The sequence below is a fragment of the Homo sapiens genome, chromosome 17 (genome assembly GCF_000001405.40).
Source record: "Homo sapiens chromosome 17, GRCh38.p14 Primary Assembly".
Lineage (NCBI taxonomy): Eukaryota > Metazoa > Chordata > Mammalia > Primates > Hominidae > Homo > Homo sapiens.
In genome coordinates, this window is record NC_000017.11 from 76,117,351 (window position 1) to 76,135,655 (window position 18,305).

Here is an 18,305-nt window from a genome sequence, read left to right on the forward strand (position 1 = left end):
TTTTTTGTATTTTAGTAGAGATGGGGTTTCACCATGTTGGCCAGGTTGGTTTCAAAATCCTGACCCCAAGTGATCCACCCACTTCGGCCTCCCAAAGTGTTAGGATTACGGGCATTAGCCACTGCACCCAGCCAATTCTTTGGCCGTTAAAGAATATTATTTAATCATTTATATGAAAATCTTTTTCTTATTTTTTCCCATTTTCATTATCATGTGGGCCAGGCATGGTGGCTCACGCTTATAATCCCAGCACTTTGGGAGGCCATTTCGGGTGGATTCCCTGAGTTTAGGAGTTTGAGACCAGCATGGTCAACATGGCAAAACCCTGTCTCTGCAAAAAATACAAAAATTAGGTGGGTCCCAGCTACTTGGGAAGCTAAGGCGGGAGAATTGCTTGAACCTGAAAGGTTGAGAGTGCAGTGAACGTTGATTGTGCCACTGCATTGCAGCCTGGGTGACAGAGCAAGGCCCTGTCTTGAAAAAAATAAAAATATGCGGTTTAATTTCATTTATTGTTGCTATTTTGTGCTAGTGGAGTTTTAATTCTTTCATTTGTTCATGTTTTATTTATGATTTATGTTTATCAGACTTTCTTTCTTTTTTCTTTTTTTTTTTGAGATGGAGTCTCGCTCTGTTGCCCAGGCTGGAGTGCAGTGGTGCGATCTCGGCTCACTGCAACCTCTGTCTCCTGGGTTCAAGCGATTCTCCTGCCTCGGCCTCCTGAGTAGCTGGGACTACAGGTGCACGCCACCATGCCCAGTTAATTTTTGTATTTTTAATTTTTGTAATTTGTAAAAATTTTTGTTTTTGTATTTTTAGTAGAGACGGGGTTTCACCACGTTGCCAGGATGGTCTTGATCTCTTGACCTTGTGATTTGCCCACCTTGGTCTCCCGAAGTGTTGGGATTACAGGCGTGAGCCACCATGCCTGGCCATTCATACTTTCTGTTTTACAGCTTTTTGGTTTTGTGTCTTGCTTAGAAAAGCTTATCCCAGGCAGGGCGCGGTGGCTCATACCTGTAATCCCAGCACTTTGAGAGACCGAGGTAGGCAGATCACCTGATGTGAGCAGTGTGAGACCAGCCTGGCCAACATGGTGAAACCCCGTCTCTACTAAAAATACAAAAATTAGCTGGGCCTGGTGCCGCACGCCTGTAATCCCAGCTACTCAGGAAGCTGAGGCAGGAGAATCGTTTGAACCGAGATCATTCCACTGCACTCCAACTGGGAAGACAGAATGAGACTCTGTCTGAGGAAAAAAAAAAAAAAAGCTTAGCTTGGGATAAATAAAACACCTGTGTTCTTTTCTCGTACTTTTTTTTTTTTAAGTTTATATTACTGAGCCATCTGAGTTTTTTCGCAGTCTGGATACCGTTTCTTCCATGTAGATATCTGGATCTATTTCTTGGGTGTATTCTGTTCCATTGAATTGCTTTTGCATATTTCAGCAACAGTACCAAACCAGTTAAAGCAAAAAAGCTTTTTAACTTAATTATTCATTTAATATTTGGTGAGGGATATATCTTTCATGGTTTTTTATTTTCCCCCCTCCTAAAAAAAGTCCTGGATAGTCTACTTTTTTTTTTGAGACGGAGTCTCGCTCTGTCGCCCAGGAGGGAGTGCAGTGGCGTGATCTCGGCTCACTGCAAGCTCCGCCTCCCGGGTTCACGCCATTCTTCTGCCTCAGCCTCCCGAGTAGCTGGGACTACAGGTGTCCGCCACTACGCCAGCTAATTTTTTGTATTTTTAGTAAAGATGGGGTTTCACCGTGTTAGCCAGGATGGTCTCGATCTCCTGACCTCGTGATCCGCCCGCCTCGGCCTCCCAAAGTACTGGGATTACAGGCGTGAGCCACAGCGCCCGGCCTGGATAGTCTACTTTTGTTCTTTTTTTTTCAGGTGAACTTTAAATTCATTTTCACAGCTACAAATTGAATGTCCCCTAAGCAAACTGGTTTGAATTCAGGTCCTTATAGAGTCTGGGGCATCACTGAGGAATCATGCCTGCTTGAGGGGTGGAGGCAAAGTGTGAGCAAGGTGAGGGGGTGCTGGAAGCCAGAAGCTTCCTGCGGAGCCTGTGAGGTGCCCACAGAGCAGGGTCCACTGCCCGGAAGGATCACTGGACCTCACAGGCAGAGCTGGAGGGAGGAAAGGCTAAGCCAGCAGAAGCCCCGCTGGGGGAGATCAAAGACAAGCATGGGCAACAGGTCTTCACAGCTGAGTGACACAAACAAGAGGGGTGCCGGGCCAGGGCTGATGGAATTGCCATGCGTGACCAGAAGGCTCAGCGGGGCCTCTAAAGGGCACCTCCCCAGCACCTGGCCTTGGCCCGACCCAGAGGGTGTTCAGGGTACCCAGTAAATCTATGATGAGCAAATAAACAAGTGCATGAAGGCTAACTCCAGGAGGAGGAGGAGGGGCGAGGAAGGAGGATCAAAGGGATGGCGTACACGTCCCAGGGAAGGCAAAGTGAAGGAGGTCGGGGTGCAGTATTTTTTTTTTTTGAGACAGAGTCTCACTATGTCACCCAGGCTGGAGTGCAGTGGCACGATCTCGGTTCACTGCAACCTCTGCCTGCTGGGTTCAAGCAATTCTCCTGTCTCAGCCTTCCGAGAAGCTAGGACTACAGGCACCCACCACCATGCCCAACTAATTTTTTTGTATTTTTAGTGGAGACAGGGTTTCACCATATTGGTCAGGCTAGTCTCGAACTCCTGACCTCAAGTGATCTACCTGCCTTGGCCTCCCAAAGCGCCGGAATTACAAGCGTGAGCCACCAAGCCCAGCCGAGGGTGCAGCTTTTGAGGCAACTGAGAGCCTCTTTGACCTGAGAATCACAGCAACATACTTGTGGGCAGCAGAAACACCCAGGCCAGGAGATACATTGGGAGGAATCTTTATCCCTTCCTGCTTCTCTTGTGGCCAGAGACCTGCACACTCTGTCCCACCCCCACACCTCCCATACCAATTTCTCAGCTTACCCAAGGCAGGTTCCAGGAGAAGGCTGTGGGGCAGGAAGGATTTGGGCTCTGAGATAGGTACTGCGGACACATGTTCCCATGGGAGAATGTTGCACGTGGCAGCTGATTTCTGTCCAAATCACAGCTGAATGGCAGAGTGGAGGAAAAAGAACCCAGGTGTGAGGCCAGACAGGCCCGTCTGATCCCAGCCCTGCCCCTAATTAGCCCTGTGACTTCTGAATAACACACCACAAAGGCCCCTTGGATTTGAGGTAAATTAAGTGACATGGCGCATATAAAAGGCCTGGTACCTAGTAGGTGCTCAAGAAATGTTAGCCGGTGCCCACTCCAGTTCTTCCCTGGCCTTTCCAGCTGTAGTTGGAGTACGTTAGGAACAAAATCGGCTTCTGCAGCTAATGATCACTGCTTAGAAATGTGTTCTGAGTTCTGATCAATTTATCCAGAACCCGTGGAACCCCTCACCTCCTCTTATCTGCCCCCAAACAGTCCTGAGTCATTGACAGCATCTTGAACCTCCTGGCCCCTGGACTCACCCAGTGAGGCCATTCGTGAAGATCAAAGAAACGAAATCACCAGGCAGTGATACCAGGGCTGGATAGTCACCTTCTGGCACCTTTTAGACATCTCTCTGCATCTTGGTCTTTCCTTCTGCAAGGACAACAATATTACAGCCCCCCAACCCTCCCCAGGCACTCACTACAGGAGATTAGCGTTACAAAGGCTCAGAACGGTGCCGGGAACATGGTGGCCCCAGGAGGGATTCTGCTGGTTCTGCAAACCCCACCGCAGGAAGACTTCCTGGCTTGTAAAATGAAGGAAAAGCAACCCATCAGGCGCTTGCCACTCACTGCCTGGCTGTCCTAGGCCATGGCCCCTTATCTGCGCCACACACACACACACACACACACACTACACACACACACACCACACACATCACACACACACACACACACACACACACACACACACACACACACACACACACACACACACACACACACACTTCTCCCCCTCTCCCTCACCCCTCCTGGCTCGACAGGGGAGGAGCTGGGAGGGCCTGTCCCCTGTCCCCCTAGCCCAGCCTTAGCCCCTATTACCGGAGGCCTCCGCTTTCTAGAACCCCGGGAGGGGCTTCGTGGACGTGGCTGTGCCGCAGGGGGGCGCCCTCCTCCCGCCGTGCTCGGGGGTCGAACCCCGAGCGCTCCGGGAGGGCTTAAGCAGGCGGGGAGGTGAGGCGAGCCCGGGCCGGGCCGGGCCAGGCCGGGCCGCGAGGGGGCGCCCCACACCACCCTTGGCCTCCACCGCGCTCGCGCAGCTGGAACCTCCGAGAAGGCCCAGGGTGCAGAGGAAGGGAGAGGCCCAGGGGCCAGGGTCATGGGTGGGGACAGAACGGGGGCAGGAGGGGGCGCTGAAGAGGGAGGGAACGTGGAGATGGAGGGGAGGCAAACAACGAGGGGGCATCCAGAGGGTCCCGGGAACGCGACCTGGGGGTTGGACAGGAAACCAGGGGTCGGGGCAGCCTGCTGGGGGCGTCTCGTGCCCCCCACCCTCCATTCCTCTGAACCAGTCCGGAAGGGGGGTTCGGCTGGCAAGCCGCGGTGGCGTCAGCCTCTGGCACCCGCTGCTGCCCGGCCCGTGGCTCCAGGCAACCGGGGACGCTGCGGGGGCTGCGCTGGGCAGCGGGTGCGGGTGCGGGCGCCCCCCATCGCGGGCCCAGGCGTTCCCCCAGCAGGCCCAGGAGCCCCCACGGGTCCAGGTGCGCCCCTGAGGCCTGGCTCCCCTGGGGCCGCGTGCCCGGAACGTGACTCAGCGCTTTCTCCGTGCCGGGCTGCGGTGGGGAGCGGGACGGAGGCGAGTGGCGCTGTCCCCAGGAAGGGCCCCGCACAGGCCCCCGCCAGGCGGGATCTTTCCCGGGTCGGGCAGGTTCGTTCATTTGTTCACGAACTCAGCGTCAGCGAGGCAGGAAGCGGGAAGAGAGAGGAGACCCCGGATAAGAAGATGGTGCTGTTGGAAACATTTGGGAATTTGGGGTGCGCTGCAGGCCTGGGTCATCCAGGCCACAGGAGAGGCACAGGGCTGCGGCCTGGGTTGGGGGAACAGCCACAGCTGTGGGGCGTTTCAAGGAGGCCGAGGCACAGGCGTATGGACTGGATTTTGAAGGATGGGAGAAGGGGGCCTCAGGACAGGAACCGGCCTTATGGAAGGAAAGCTGGGAAGTAGGGAGGGGGCCGGGGGTGTCGGAGAGGACAGCTGAGTGTGGCGGGAGCGGAGGCAGAGCGGCCCTGGGGCCCCGGCGTCAGCTGAGGTTGCACTGTGTTTGGAGAGGAGCCTCGGAGGGGTGGGCTGCCTGGCAGCAGTGGCCTGGGGGCCGCAAATGAGGAGGGTGCAGTGCCTTGGGCAGTAAATTAGAAGACACAGGCTGCTGGCTGGGGGCGGGAGGGCACAGGGAAGCCCTGCCCGGGAGCAGGCCGAGAGCTAGGTTTCCACCGTTCCCCGCCAACCCCAAACTGAGGACCGATGGATCCTGCCCCTGCGGTGGGAAACCAGGAGGCCTCTTTCCCTGACTGGATAGCTGCCCTGAGGCAGGGGATTGAGTGAGATGACCCTGAAGGGAGTCCCCAGTGTGCTCTTGTTCTGTGGGCTTGCCTGTCGTTCACACTCACGGAAGGGTCCTCCTGTCTGCCTGAAATGAATGAATGAATGAGCAGAGATATCTCAGCGTGTATTCCCTGGGGGGACACCACACACACTTCCTTCTTCAATAAGGGCTTTTTAATGAGGCCAGGGAGGAGACTGGGCTGGAGGTGAGGCCTGGGCCCCTGAGGGCAGAGGGACAGGCGGGACAGGCCTGAGTTGCCTTGCTTTGCTTGCCTTCCTTCCTTCCTTTCTTTCTCTCTCTCTCTCCTTCCTTCCTTCCTTCTTTCCTTCCTTCCTTCTTTGCTTCCTTCCTTCTTTCCTTCCTTCCTTCTCTCTCTCTTCTTTCTCTCTCCCTTCTCTTTCTCGCTTTCTTTCGCTCTCTCCCTCCCTCCCTCCTTCCTTCCTTCTTTTTCTTTTTCAGAGTTTCACTCTTGTAGCCCAGCCTGGAGTGCAGTGAGCTGAGATTGCGCCACTGCACTCACTGCAACCTCCACCTCTCGGGTTCAAGCGATTCTCCTGCCTCAGCCTCCCAAGTAGCTGGGACTACAGGTGTGCACCACCACGCAAGGTTAATTTTTTTATTTTTAGTAGGGATGGGATTTCACCGCGTTGGTCAGGCTGATCTCGAACTCCTGACCTCAGGTGATTCTCCCCGCCTCAGCCTCCGAAAGTGCTGGGATTACAGGCGTGAGCCACCATGCCCAGCCTCCTGAGCTGCCTTTCTGATAGTTCCCCTCTATCTGCCCAGCTGGAAACTCTGGCTTTTGGATCTGGCTCTGCCAGTAAGTCATTGTGAGAATTAGGGTGCATCCTGCCACCCCCTATCCATGCCACCATGCTCTGCTGAGCACCAAGCATGTGCCATACCTGACTCCGGCCAGGTGCCACAGAGAACTGCACACTGCCCTCCCGGAGCTCCCAGTCCAGCAGGGGAGACACAGATGCTGCTGTGGTGAGTGGAGAGGTGGCAGACATCCACATAGGTCCCCCAGCAGGCAGTGCCCACGAGAAGCCAGCCTCACCTGTGCCACCGTCCTCAGAGCTGTGTCCTCTCTGTGCCTCATTTTCTTCAGCTATAGGTGACACTAGATGGCTCCTGAGGCCTCCTGCAGATGACAGGTGCTTGCTGCTGTCATTGAGGGGTACTCCAGCTGCTCCTGCCTCCCACAAAAGGGCAAACAGACAAACCCCACCTCCGGCTAGCACCCCTGAAGGAATCTGGGCCTGCAGCTCCTCAGGACCAGACTTGGAGCTGGGGTCTGCCAGAGGCCCAGCCAGCTGATGTGGTGTCTCCCAGAGCTCAGGGCCCAGCCAAGGTGCTTCCCCCAACAAACTTGAACCCCAGCCAGCAGCCAGGAGCCCCACAGTGGGCAGTCTGTGCTGGCAGCAGGCGAGGGGCACGGGTCCTGGGCAGGCAGGAACAGAGGCCCCCCGCACTTGTCCTCTGCCCTGGAGGCACTCACCAGGCTGCAGGGGTGAAGCAGGGAAAGGGATTGTGGTGGAGGTCATCCCCCAAACTGAGTTCTAGACCCACCAGCTCAAAGGGCTCAGGGTCAAGGGTGGACCATGGGATGTGGGCTTTCTGGAACTCTGGCCAGCTAGGGGCAGAGCGAGTGTCCGGGGACCCCCAGCCCCAACTCTGCTCCAGCCAGGCCCGCTCTTCTGTGAGAGAGGTGGCATTGCCAGAGCTGATGTTGGTTCAGGTACCAGCCTGGGGATCCCGATGTGTCTTACCAACCGCCTGCTCAAACAGAAGAGCCAAAAAGGCTGGCACAAGTTCTGCCAGGATGGCGATGCAGGGAGGACCCTCCCTCTGCAGGTGTCACCAGCCGCACTGAGAGAAAAGGCTCGCGCCTGAGTTTTAAGACCTGGGCTTGGATGGCACGGTGACACGCACCCCGCGGGCTGGTTTATTTTCCTCCTTCCCACCTCTTCACATCTCCTTCAGGTGCTAGACACGGAGAGGGCCAAGAGAACCACTTGGGAAGGGGACTGACAACCTCGCTGGCCATTGTATGGTCATCAATACCATGCGCCTGCTGTCCCGGGCTCTGGCAGGTGGGGTGTGTTGAGGATGCTGTGGGGGCCCAGAGCCCACACCTAACCCAGGTGGAGACCAGGACTGGGGACTCTGGAACTAAGTCCTGAAGGGCGTTACCCAGGTGAAGCGGGAGAGCGGGAGGGTGCTCATTCAAGGCAGAAGGCAGGGATTGGGACAGGAAGAGTGGAAATAGTGATTCTCAGTGGTGCATTAGTGTGACTGGTCACAGAGGGGAGGGGAGGGGAGAAGATGAGGGATGAGCAGGAGTCAGATCTTGATGGAGCTTAGGGGGCCCGAAGCTCCTCCTGTAGGCGAAGGAACTCATTGCAGTTAGCTGAGGAGTGGCCAGAGCGGCACTTGAAAAGGGTCACCCTGGCCCCTCATCTTCCCTAGCACTGAGAGGCTAGCAGCCCCTGGGCACACTGGTGGGGGTCCCACCTCCATGCCTTTGCTCACTCCCCGCCTTCTGCCTGAAACTCTTTTCCTCCCTGCACTCCTGCTGGATACCTGGGCCATCTGTTTGAAGAATCAAGTCAGGGGCTGGGTGCAGTGGCTCGTGCCTCTAATCCCAGCACTTCGGGAGGCTGAGGTGGGCAGACCACTTGAGATCAGGAGTTCGAGACCAGCCCAGGCAACATGGTGAAACCCTATCTCGTCTCTACTAAAAACACAAAAATTAGCCAGGCGTGATGGCAGGCACCTGTAGTCCCCAGCTACTGGGGAGGCTGAGGCAGGAGAATCGCTTGAACCTGGGAAGCGGAGGTTGCAGTGAGTTGAGATCGCACCACTGCACTCCAGCCTGGGCGACAGAACAAGACTCCATCTCAAAAATAAAAAATAAAAAAAAGAATCAACTCAGGGTAGTCCTGTTGGACATGGCAGATATATTATACACATGTATGTCTTCACTTCCGAAACCCCATGCAAGTGAAAAGTAAAGGGATTTTTTTTAAACAAAGCTGTATGACAAAAAGCCCTGTACAAGACTGTTCATAGCAGCTTTATTCACAATAGATCAAAATTGGAAACAACCCAGATATCCATCAAGAGGGGACTGGATAAACAAATAGCTACCATCAGCTGATGAAATACTACTCAGCCATGAAGAGGAACAAACTACTGATGCATGCAACAACATAGTTAAATTCCAAAACTAACATGCTGAGTGAAGGAAGCTGAACACAAAGTACAAACTGTCTGGTGCCATTCATAGGAAATTCTAGAACAGGCAAAACTGACCGATGGCAATAGAAATCAAATGAGTGGTTGCTTAGGGATGGGGTGATGGTAGGGATCCCCTGGAAAGGGGCATGAGGAAATTTTCTGTGTTTTGATATATATTTGTCAAAATGGTTTGAACAGTACACTTAAGATCAGCTCATTTAATTGTACATGAATTTTACCTCAATAAGAACAAAATAGGCCGGGCGCGGTGGCTCACGCCTTAATCCCAGCACTTTGGGAGGCCGAGGCGGGTGGATCACGAGGTCGGGAGTTCAAGACCAGCCTGACCAACATGACAAAACCCCATCTCTACCAAAAATACAAAAATTAGCCAGATGTGGTGGCACATGCCTGTAGTCCAGCTACATGGGAGGCTGAGGCAGGAGAATCACTTGAACCCAGGAGGCAGAGGCTGCAGTAAGCTGAGATTACACCACTTCACTCCAGCCTGGGTGAGACAGAGCCAGACTCCATCTCAAAAATAAAAAACAAAAAAACATGAATCCACAAGGAAAAAAAAATAAAAAACCAGAAGGGGAGATAACGTCTGATGAGAGATTTCAGCAAATCTAGGCTGAGAACACATGAAGATGAAGAGGAAGTGTCAGAGAGCAGAGGGGCCAGCTCCTGGGCAGGTATGCAGAAGGGGATACCAAAAGGAAGTTGAATGATTTTTCCCCCAGATTCTGCAAAAGGTCAGAACACAAAGCTGAAGTTTTTGCACTGAGCAGATCTCTAGCCCCCTGTCTTCCCCCTCCCTACAATGTTCCTCCCCAGCTCCAACCCCACTGAGATTGGGGTTTATTTTCTGGAGCAATTGAACTGGGTCCTGGACCAGGGGACACTAGGCACTTGTAGGTGGTAGGGATCAGACACTGGGGTGAAAACAAGGATATTAAGTGAAAGAAGTCTGCATCTTGAAAAACAAAACCCCAAACCCCTTCCTGGCTCAGCAGCCATCACGCCAGGCTCAAACCCTGTAGGGGTAAACTAGAAGATTTTTCTCTGAGCTAATAACATGACCTTGGAGGAAAGGTCTGCTGGTATTGATCATTAGAGCCCTCCTGCAAAAAGGCTAGGTTGTCCTACAATAAAGCCCAATAGTTGACCAACTGCCTCTACTTGCTGACCTTGTAGTTAGCTTTTTAGCACTTCAATTTAAAAAATGAATTTACAGCCAGTACGACTAGACATTTGAGAAAAACCTTCAACTTGAAAGTGAGAGCTTATGATAGGTAGCTCCAAAGTGAAAGAAAGAAAGCAAAACAAGAAAGAAAAAAGAGGCTGGGTGCAGTAGCTCATGCCTGTAATCCCAGCACTTTGGGAGGCCGAGGCGGGTGGATCACAAGGTCAGGAGATCGAGACCATCCTGGCTAACACGGTGAAACCCCATCTCTACTAAAAATACAAAAAATTAGCTGGGAGTGGTGGTGGGCGCCTGTAGTCGCAGCTACTCGGGATGCTGAGGCAGGAGAATCGCTTGAACCCAGGAGGCGGAGATTGCAGTAAGCCAAGATCACGCCATTGCACTCCAGCCTGGGTGACAGAGCGAGACTCCATCTCGAAAAAAAAAAAAAAAAAAGAGGAAGGAAGGAAGGAAGGAAGGAAGGAATCCTGACCTCAAGTGATCTACCCACCTTGGCCTCCCAAAGTGCTTGGATTACAGGCATAAGCCACCATGCCCAGCCTTTTTATTTTTCTTTTGAGACGGAGTCTTGCGCCTCTTGCCCAGGCTGGAGTACAGTGGCACAATCTCGGCTCACTGCAACCTCCGCCTCCTGGGTTCAAGCGATTCTCCTGTCTCAGCCTCCTGAGTAGCTGGGATTACAGGTGCGTGCCACCATGCCTGGCTAATTTTTGCATTTTTTAGTAGAGACGGGGTTTCGCCATGTTGGCCAGGCTGGTCTCGAACTCCTGACCTCAGGTGATCCACCTGCCTCTGCCTCCCAAAGTGCTGAGATTACAGGCATGAGCCACCATGCCTGGCCTATTTATGGATTTTTTAAAAGGTATTCATAGAGAATGGCATTGATAAGGATTTGTAAGACTTTTTGGGACATTTGTGAATAATCAGCTATAAGAGCACAAAAAATCTAAAAAATGACAAGAAATGAGGTAATTATTAACTCCTGCATCCTTTATGAAAGGACATATACTCAGAGTGCACTGCTGGGCTCTGCAGTGAGCAATATGCACCACGCCATGGCAATCACATGGTGTCTGGCTGTTTAACCAAAAATCTGACCAAATAGGAGGATAGAGGAGGGAATCGAGCCATATCCTTACCTTCTATGGCAGGAAGCCATTGGATAACATTCAAATAAATTGAAGATCCAGCGATGGTAGTATTAATTAGAAGCATAAGGCTGGGCATGGTGGCGCATGCCTGTAATCCCAGCACCTTGGGAGGCCAAGGTGGGCAGATCACTTGACGTCAGGAGTTCGAGACCAGCCTGTTCAACGTGGTGAAACCCCGTCTCTACCAAAAATACAAAATTTAGCTGGGCGTGGTGGTGCACACCTGTAATCCCAGCTACTTGGGATGCTGAGGCAGGAGAATTGCTTGAATCCAGGAGGCGAAGGTTGCAGTGAGCCAAGATAGTGTCACTGCACACCAGTTTGGGCGACACAGTGAGACTCCGTCCCAAAAAAAAAAAAAAAAAAAAGAACAGCAGGGATTATTTGAACCAGTGAAAGAACTGAAAGTGGTTGGTTATGGTTACCAGAGGAGCAGGACCTGAAGGAAGAGCTAGTGACCTTTTGTGTTTTTTTTTAAACTTTTTAACATACTAAGTCTTTTTAAGATTGATATTTATGGCCGGGTGCGGTGGCTTCCGCCTGTAATCCCAGCACTTTGGGAGGCCAAGGAGGGCGGATCACAAGGTCAGGAGATCGAGACCATCCTGGCTAACACGGTGAAACCCCGTCTCTACTAAAAATACAAAAAATTAGCTGGGCGTGGTGGTGGGCGCCTGTAGTCCCAGCTGCTCGGGAGGCTGAGGCAGGAGAATGGCGTGAACCCCGGAGGCGGAGCTTGCAGTGAGCCGAGATCGCGCCACTGCACTCCAGCCTGGGCGACAGAGCGAGACTCCATCTCAAAAAAGAAAAAAAAAAAGATTGATATTTATTCCAGGTGCATGTACTGTTATGATGTAAAAATTTTTCCTTAAAAAAAAAAAAAAAGCCAGGTGTGGTGGCTCACACCTGTAATCTGAGCACTTTCAGAGGCTGAGGCAGGAGGATCACTTGAGCCCAGGAGTTTGAGACCAGCCTGGGCAAACTGGTGAGACCCCATCTCCATAAAAAATTAAAAAAACAGCCAGGCGTGGTGGCATGTGCCTCTAGTCCCAGCTACTCGGGAGGCTGAGCTGGGAAGATTGCTTGAACCCAGGAAGTCGAGGCTGCAGTGATCTGTGATTGTGTCACTGCACTCCAGCCTGGGCAAGAGTGAGAGACTCAGTTTCAAAGAAAAAAAAAAAAAGAAAAAGAGAAAGAGACAGGGTGTGGTGGCTCACGCTTGTAATCCCAGCACTTTGGCAGGCCGAGGTGGGTGGATCACCTGAGGTCAGGAGTTCAAGACCAGCCTGGCCAACATGGTGAAACCCCATCTCTACTAAAAATACAAAACATTAGCCGGGCATGGTGGTGGACACCTGTAATCCCAGCTACTCGGGAGACTGAGGCAAGAGGATTGCTTGAACCCAGGAGGTGGAGGTTGCAGTGAGCCGAAATCACGCCACTGCACTCCAACCTGGGCGACAGAGTAAGATTCCATTAAAAAAAAAAAAAGAAAAGAAAAGAAAAGAAAAAGAATAGAAAAAGAAAAAAGAAAGGCCCAGTGGCTGTTAGGTAGAGAACATACTGGAGCGAGGGCAGTGGGCTGGGAGACAGCTGGCTGGGGGTGCCAGTCCCGAGTGGGGGTGCAGCGTGAGGAAGGCCCACGCAGGGAGAAGGGGAATCCAGCCAGGCATACGGAGAGTTTGAGGTGCCCATAGCATGTTTGAGGGGTGCCTGAGAGGCTTCTGGGTAATGAAGGAGGGTTCTAGGAGACTCAGCTTGGAAAAGGAACCATACCTCATGAGCAAAGCTCCGAGAACAGGATTCTTGCCTTGAAGCTGCAATGCCCAAACATTTTAGCCTCAGAGTCTGTGAGTCCTATGGGTAAGGCTGTGGGCTTCCCAGCTCGGTGGGTTAGAAAGGCTCCCCAAGACGAGGTCTCATTCCTTGTTGCCCCTCCCTGACTCAGCTCAAAGGTCTAAGGAACCAGGTCACCAGGTGAGTGACTGACCAGTATCCAGCAGCACCTGGGACCCTGGCCTTCCTCTCCTGCAGCTGAGAATCTCCGGCCTCCAGCTGCGTCCTGCGAGCTGGGTGCAGGTCAGCTACCCTGACCTCCCGGGGCCCCTGCCCCTCTCGGGGCTCCTGTCCCTCCTCTCTGCTCCTCTTGCTCCTGAGTGCCCTTCCAAGTTACTGCAGACCTGCTCCTCCACCGTTCCGCCCCTTACACCCCATAGTTCCGCACATTAGCCAGAGCTCCCCACACCCTCCGGTTCACCCTGGCGCGGCCCCACCACCTCCCCATCCTCTTCCTCTTCCCTCTCCAAGAAAGGGGCCGGCGCTTACCCTTCCTGCCTCCTCTGAGACCCTCTTCCTCCTGCTCTCACCAGGAGCTCTCTCAGCACTGCCAACCCCTCGGGGTCACCCGTACCCCTTCTTTCCTTCAAACACCCCCAGGCCTCCCATCTTAAAGCTCTCCTTGGGTCTGCCCTCACCCCTGTCCGCACCCCTCTCCTTTCTTTCTCCCCATTTGGAGCTGGAGTTTGCTGCCTGCTCTCACTCTCCCCGCACCCCACCAACTGCACTAAGGACACAGCCCCATGGGAGGCCGCCGGGACCTCCAGGGCCAATGCCGGCTTCCGCTGCCCCCACTCAGGCTGCCCTGCGGCGCTCAGCACTGTGGGCGCTCCCTTCAGGGGGTGGGGAACAGGTGTGTGAGCGCAGTGGCTCCCCCTGCCCGAGTTCCCAGGCGTCCTCCCGCTCCCTCTCGGCTTTGCCTCCTCCTCCCTGGTCCCCTGGTTTCCTAGTGGTGGTCCTCGTTCTCCGCTACCCTCCCTCTGTTCTCACTTCCACACGAGAGGCCCCCAAATCCACAGGGTCAACAGCCTGCCCCCCTCGCTCAATTCCAGAACGGGGCAGCAATGGGGCTTTCCTCCAAGTTCTCCCTGGGCTGCAATGCCTTCTACCTCTGCACACCCTTGGGTCAAACCACTGCCTCCAGAGGCCTCGGGAATGTTCCCAGCCCAGGGACTGGAGAACCCCTGGGTGTTGACTATCTGGCTTCTCGGCTGCTTTTCTATCTTGTGTTGATCTGCCAGCCAGCACATATATTCATTCATCTATTCAAAAAATACTTAACACGTTGGGGGCTGTGATGCTTCAAAGGTAGGAATCACCAAGACAGGCCATCTTCCCACAGGGGTCTGCAGACCTGTGGGCTTAGTAGGTAGGGTCTGTATCCCAGTCCACCCCTCCTTTTCCCCTGCCCAACTCATGGGCACAGTTCACTCGAAGGAAATTGAAGGCACTCTGTTGCTCAGTGGGGATGGGGACAGGGCTTGGTACCCAGGGTTAGGCAGGAAGAGAGGCAGGGCAGCTGGTAGGGGTGTGCGGGGCTGTAGACGGAGCCTGTGGGTGGCTGGGCAAGGGGAGAGCTGTGGGCAGCTGCCCCACCTCAACTTAATTCCCTGGGCAAACAGCAGCATTGGGAGGCCTGCCCACCGCAATCCCGCTGCGGTTCTGGCTTCAAAGGGCCCTGGGGGCTGTGGGCGGGGTGGGCTTCGTGGAGGTATGCACACCCTCTCCAATTCCTGGAACTCCTACTTTCCTGGGAGCGCGGGTCCTGGGGCTCAGACCTCTCTGTCCTCAGAACAGGGTGGTGCGGCCCAAGGGCAGGTGAGGGGCTGGTGGGAGTCAGTTCAGGGCTGTACTGGAAGGCTATCAGGGGCCAGTAGGGAGACCCTCATCCCCGACAGCCCCTTCCGTTACGGTCCCCCAACCTCTCCTTGCCCTGCCAGCTCAGGCTGGCTGGCTTCTGGGGGACAATGTCCTTCCAGTTGGCCCCTGCCAACTTCTGACGCAGGCAGGGAAGGTTCAAGCCCCAGCATGCCCAGAAGCTTTGACCTGCTCACCTGGGAGCCACAGAGTGGGGCAGACACAGGTGCCCCGGGAAGAATGCAGCCCCTGAGGGCCTTCTGCGCTTCACCTGCTCCTCAGCTCACACCAGTCAGCGAGGCTTTGGCATGCGGGGGCCCATAAAGCCCCCTCCCCTGCCCGAGGTGCCGCCCCCATCCTCCCCCCCCGCCCGCCCCGGTCACCTGTGTTTTCCTCCTCACCAAACAAGAATGTGTCAGCAGGGCCCGGGCTCCTCCCCCACCCCATTGTTAACAAGGCCGGCTCGGCGGCCCCTTCCCACATCCCCACCCCCGACAGGCCCAGGCCTGCCCCAAGGGACCAGCCCACTGCCCCCTGCCGGGAGCGCACCTACACCTATTTACCTTTGGGCCTCAGCCCAGGAGGGAGCTGCACCTGACCCTCCACCGCCCCGCCTTCTTTCCTGCCCTCCAGCTCACCCTCTTCCGGCAAGTCTGGGTCCTGGGGCGGGGGAGGAGGTGGAGAACCATTCCTGACTCCTGCCCCAGATGGAGCTCAGCTCTGCAGGGGGCCTGGTCAGTTTGTCCCAGCGGAGCATAAAGTGCAGGGTTGAGGGGGATCCCTGGGGACCTTCCAGACCTGAGAGTCACTGGGCCCTGGGTGGCCTGTCCTATTTAACAGGATGTGCCCTGGGCAGGGACGGGGAGCCATCCAAGGTCTGAGCTCCTGGCCTTTCCTCCCACATCCTGGCCCTCCCCGCTCTCTCCATCACATTCCTAGCTGGGGGATACAGCTGGAAGACAGAATGGGGAAGAGGCTGGACATTCTGGGACAGAAGGGTGGCTCCGTGCTTTGGGAACAGGCTTTCCCCAACACTTAAAATGAGGTGGGGCTGGGCGTGGTGGCTCACTCCTGTAATCCCAGCACTTTGGGAGCCCAAGGCGGGCGGATCACTTGAGGATCCAGCCTGGCTAACATGGTGAAACCCCGTCTCTACTAAAAATACAAAATTATTTGGGCATGGTGGTGCACGCCTGTTATCCCAGCTACTCAGGAGGCTGAGGCAGGAGAATCGCTTGAACCTGGGAGGCGGAGGTTGCAGTGAGCCGAGTTTGTGCCACTGCACTCCAGCCTGAGCGACAAAGCAAGACTCTGTCTCAAAACAAAACAAAAGAGGTGGTTCAGGCAGGGGCTGTCACGTGCAGCAGGGGCTGGTTACCCCAAAAGTGGAGATTGCAGGTTAGAATGAAAGGAGATGAGGAACCGGCCAGGGAACTTGAGTTATGAGCTCAAAGCCACACAGCTCCAAAGAGATAGGACAGTGAATGAACGGTGATCTCGGATTGGGATGCTGGCACAGGGAGGAGCGTGACGGGGCAATCTGCAAAGTTTGAATGGGGTCCGTGGATTAGATGGGATTACCAGGCCAATGTTAATTTCCTGTTTTGTGTTGTTTTGTCTTGAGACAGGATGTCACTCTGCCACCCCTGCAGGAATGTAGTGGTGCAATCAGAGCTCACTGAAGCCTTGACCTCCTGGGTTCAGCTCAGGCGATTCTCCTGCTTCAGCCTCCTGTGTAGAGAGTAGCTGGGACCACAGATGCACACCACCATGCCTGGCTAATTTTAAAAATTATCTGTAGAGGTCGGGTGCGGTGGCTCACGCCTGTAATCCCAGCACTTTGGGAGGCCGAGGCAGGCGAATCATGAGGTCAGGAGATCGAGGCCATCCTGGATAACACGGTGAAACCCCGTCTTTACTAAAAATACAAAAGCTTAGCCAGGCGTGGTGGTGGGCACCTGTAGTCCCAGCTACTCGGGAGGCTGAGGCAGGAGAATGGCGTGAACCTGGGAGGCGGAGCTTGCAGTGAGCCGAGATCGCGCCACTGCACTCCAGCCTGGGCACAGAACGAGACTCCGTCTCAAATCAAAACAACAACAACAACAAAACAAACAAACAAAATCCAGAAGTGCCCTTGTTTTAAGGAAATACTTACTGAAGTATTTAGTGGTATGGGGAGTCAGGTCTTCAACGTACTGTCAAATGGTGCAAAACATATTTTGGTTGGGATTACATTGAACCTGGAAATAAATAAGAGGTAAATGGGCTGGGTGAGGTGGCTCACGCCTGTAATCCCAGCACTTTGGGAGGCTGAGGTGGGTGGATCACTTGAGGTCAGAAGTTTGAGACCAGCCTGGCCAACGTGGTAAAACCCCATCTCTACTAAAACTACAAAAATTAGCCGGGCGTGGCGGCGGGCGCCTGTAGTCCCAGCTACTCGGGAGGCTGAGGCAAGAGAATTGCTTGAACCCGGTGGGGCGGGGCGCACAGGTTGCAGTGAGCTGAGATCGCGCCGCTGCACTCCAGTATGGGCGACAGAGCCAGACGACTCAAAAAAAGAAGAAAAAAAAAGAGGTAAATGAACATCTTTTTACGAAAAAGCCACCCCACTGAGGGGCAAGGCAGGGGTGAATAGGAGTGAGGAGCTCCTAGCCCACACTCTCGCCACTCCCCAGCTTGGCCTGCTGAAAGTCATGCCCTCTCCAGGGCCCCCTCTCGGTTTTGCCGCACATTGGAAACATCTGGGGACCTTACAAATGCTGATGCCTGGGTCCCACCCCGGAAATTCTGGTCTAATTGGTCCAGGGTGCAGCCCAGCAGTGGGATTTTTCAGGAGCCTCCAGGTGACTGTCAAGCTGGGGCAAACCTCGATCTGCTTCTCAGGCCTGGTGCTCCCCCAGTGGGGTGTCCTGCCTGCCCCAGACATTGCCCCCCTTCCCCCCAGCACAGGCCTGGGGCACACAGCTACACGCCCAGCCTGTCAGTCCAAAGCTGGAGGCTGATCCTGTGGGGAGAAGGCTGGAGCCCAGCTTGTTCCCCCATTGCTGGGGTCCATGGAGAGGAAGGGGGCGGACAGTGGGGAAAAGGAGAGGGGAGTTGCTTGCGGGGTGAAGGGAATTGGGGCAGCCCTCAGCCTGCCTTCCTGGACCCTGCAGGCTGCGTGCCCTCCTGCAGTATTTAGAATAATTAGCAAGTGAAAGCAGCCGGTTAGCAGGGGAATGCCAGGTTGGCCTAGAGCCAACCCCGAGGACGAAGAAAGAAAGGGGCTTTGGGAGAAAGGGGTCCGTGGAGGCTGGGCAGGAATGCTTGGGACGTTGCCTGTTTGTGCCCCTGTGTGTGTGCGCCCGTGTGCGAGGAAGTGGCTTTCTGGAGGCGTCGTGCACCCATGAGGGTGTATATGTGGCGGGGACTGAGTTGGAAGGTGGCTCCCGG

At 54.5% G+C, this 18,305-nt stretch overlaps 1 long non-coding RNA gene across 2 annotated transcripts, besides 5 other annotated features; it reads right to left on the reverse strand.

Moving 5' to 3' along the window:
- Positions 1-1,878: 1,878 nt before the first annotated feature.
- On the reverse strand, positions 1,879-15,170 carry LOC101928447 (uncharacterized). 2 transcript variants are annotated; one of them, XR_001753019.2, is made up of 4 exons: positions 15,071-15,170; positions 6,640-6,774; positions 3,514-3,628; positions 2,986-3,104 (listed from the first exon to the last, which is right to left on the reverse strand). It is a non-coding gene; the product is annotated as an uncharacterized LOC101928447 (long non-coding RNA). The 2 variants fall into 2 exon arrangements; XR_001753018.2 differs by lacking the exons at positions 6,640-6,774; positions 15,071-15,170 and adding an exon at positions 4,078-4,203 and having other exon boundaries at positions 1,879-3,104.
- Positions 3,974-4,443: a silencer, noted in NCBI's record as "silent region_9002". NCBI's record gives its function as "represses an Ori minimal core promoter by ATAC-STARR-seq in GM12878 lymphoblastoid cells {active_cell/tissue: GM12878}" and the evidence as "EXISTENCE:reporter gene assay evidence [ECO:0000049][PMID:35858748]".
- Positions 14,390-15,051: an enhancer, noted in NCBI's record as "H3K27ac-H3K4me1 hESC enhancer chr17:74127821-74128482 (GRCh37/hg19 assembly coordinates)". NCBI's record gives its function as "activates a minimal SCP1, AML or CMV promoter by ChIP-STARR-seq in primed H9 embryonic stem cells {active_cell/tissue: H9 hESC(primed)}" and the evidence as "EXISTENCE:reporter gene assay evidence [ECO:0000049][PMID:30033119]".
- Positions 15,052-15,711: an enhancer, noted in NCBI's record as "H3K27ac-H3K4me1 hESC enhancer chr17:74128483-74129142 (GRCh37/hg19 assembly coordinates)". NCBI's record gives its function as "activates a minimal SCP1, AML or CMV promoter by ChIP-STARR-seq in primed H9 embryonic stem cells {active_cell/tissue: H9 hESC(primed)}" and the evidence as "EXISTENCE:reporter gene assay evidence [ECO:0000049][PMID:30033119]".
- Positions 15,278-15,572: an enhancer, noted in NCBI's record as "tiled region #10053; HepG2 Activating DNase matched - State 4:PromP". NCBI's record gives its function as "activates a minimal TATA promoter and a strong SV40 promoter by Sharpr-MPRA in HepG2 cells {active_cell/tissue: HepG2}" and the evidence as "EXISTENCE:reporter gene assay evidence [ECO:0000049][PMID:27701403]".
- Positions 15,278-15,572: a silencer, noted in NCBI's record as "tiled region #10053; K562 Repressive non-DNase unmatched - State 20:ReprD". NCBI's record gives its function as "represses a minimal TATA promoter and a strong SV40 promoter by Sharpr-MPRA in K562 cells {active_cell/tissue: K562}" and the evidence as "EXISTENCE:reporter gene assay evidence [ECO:0000049][PMID:27701403]".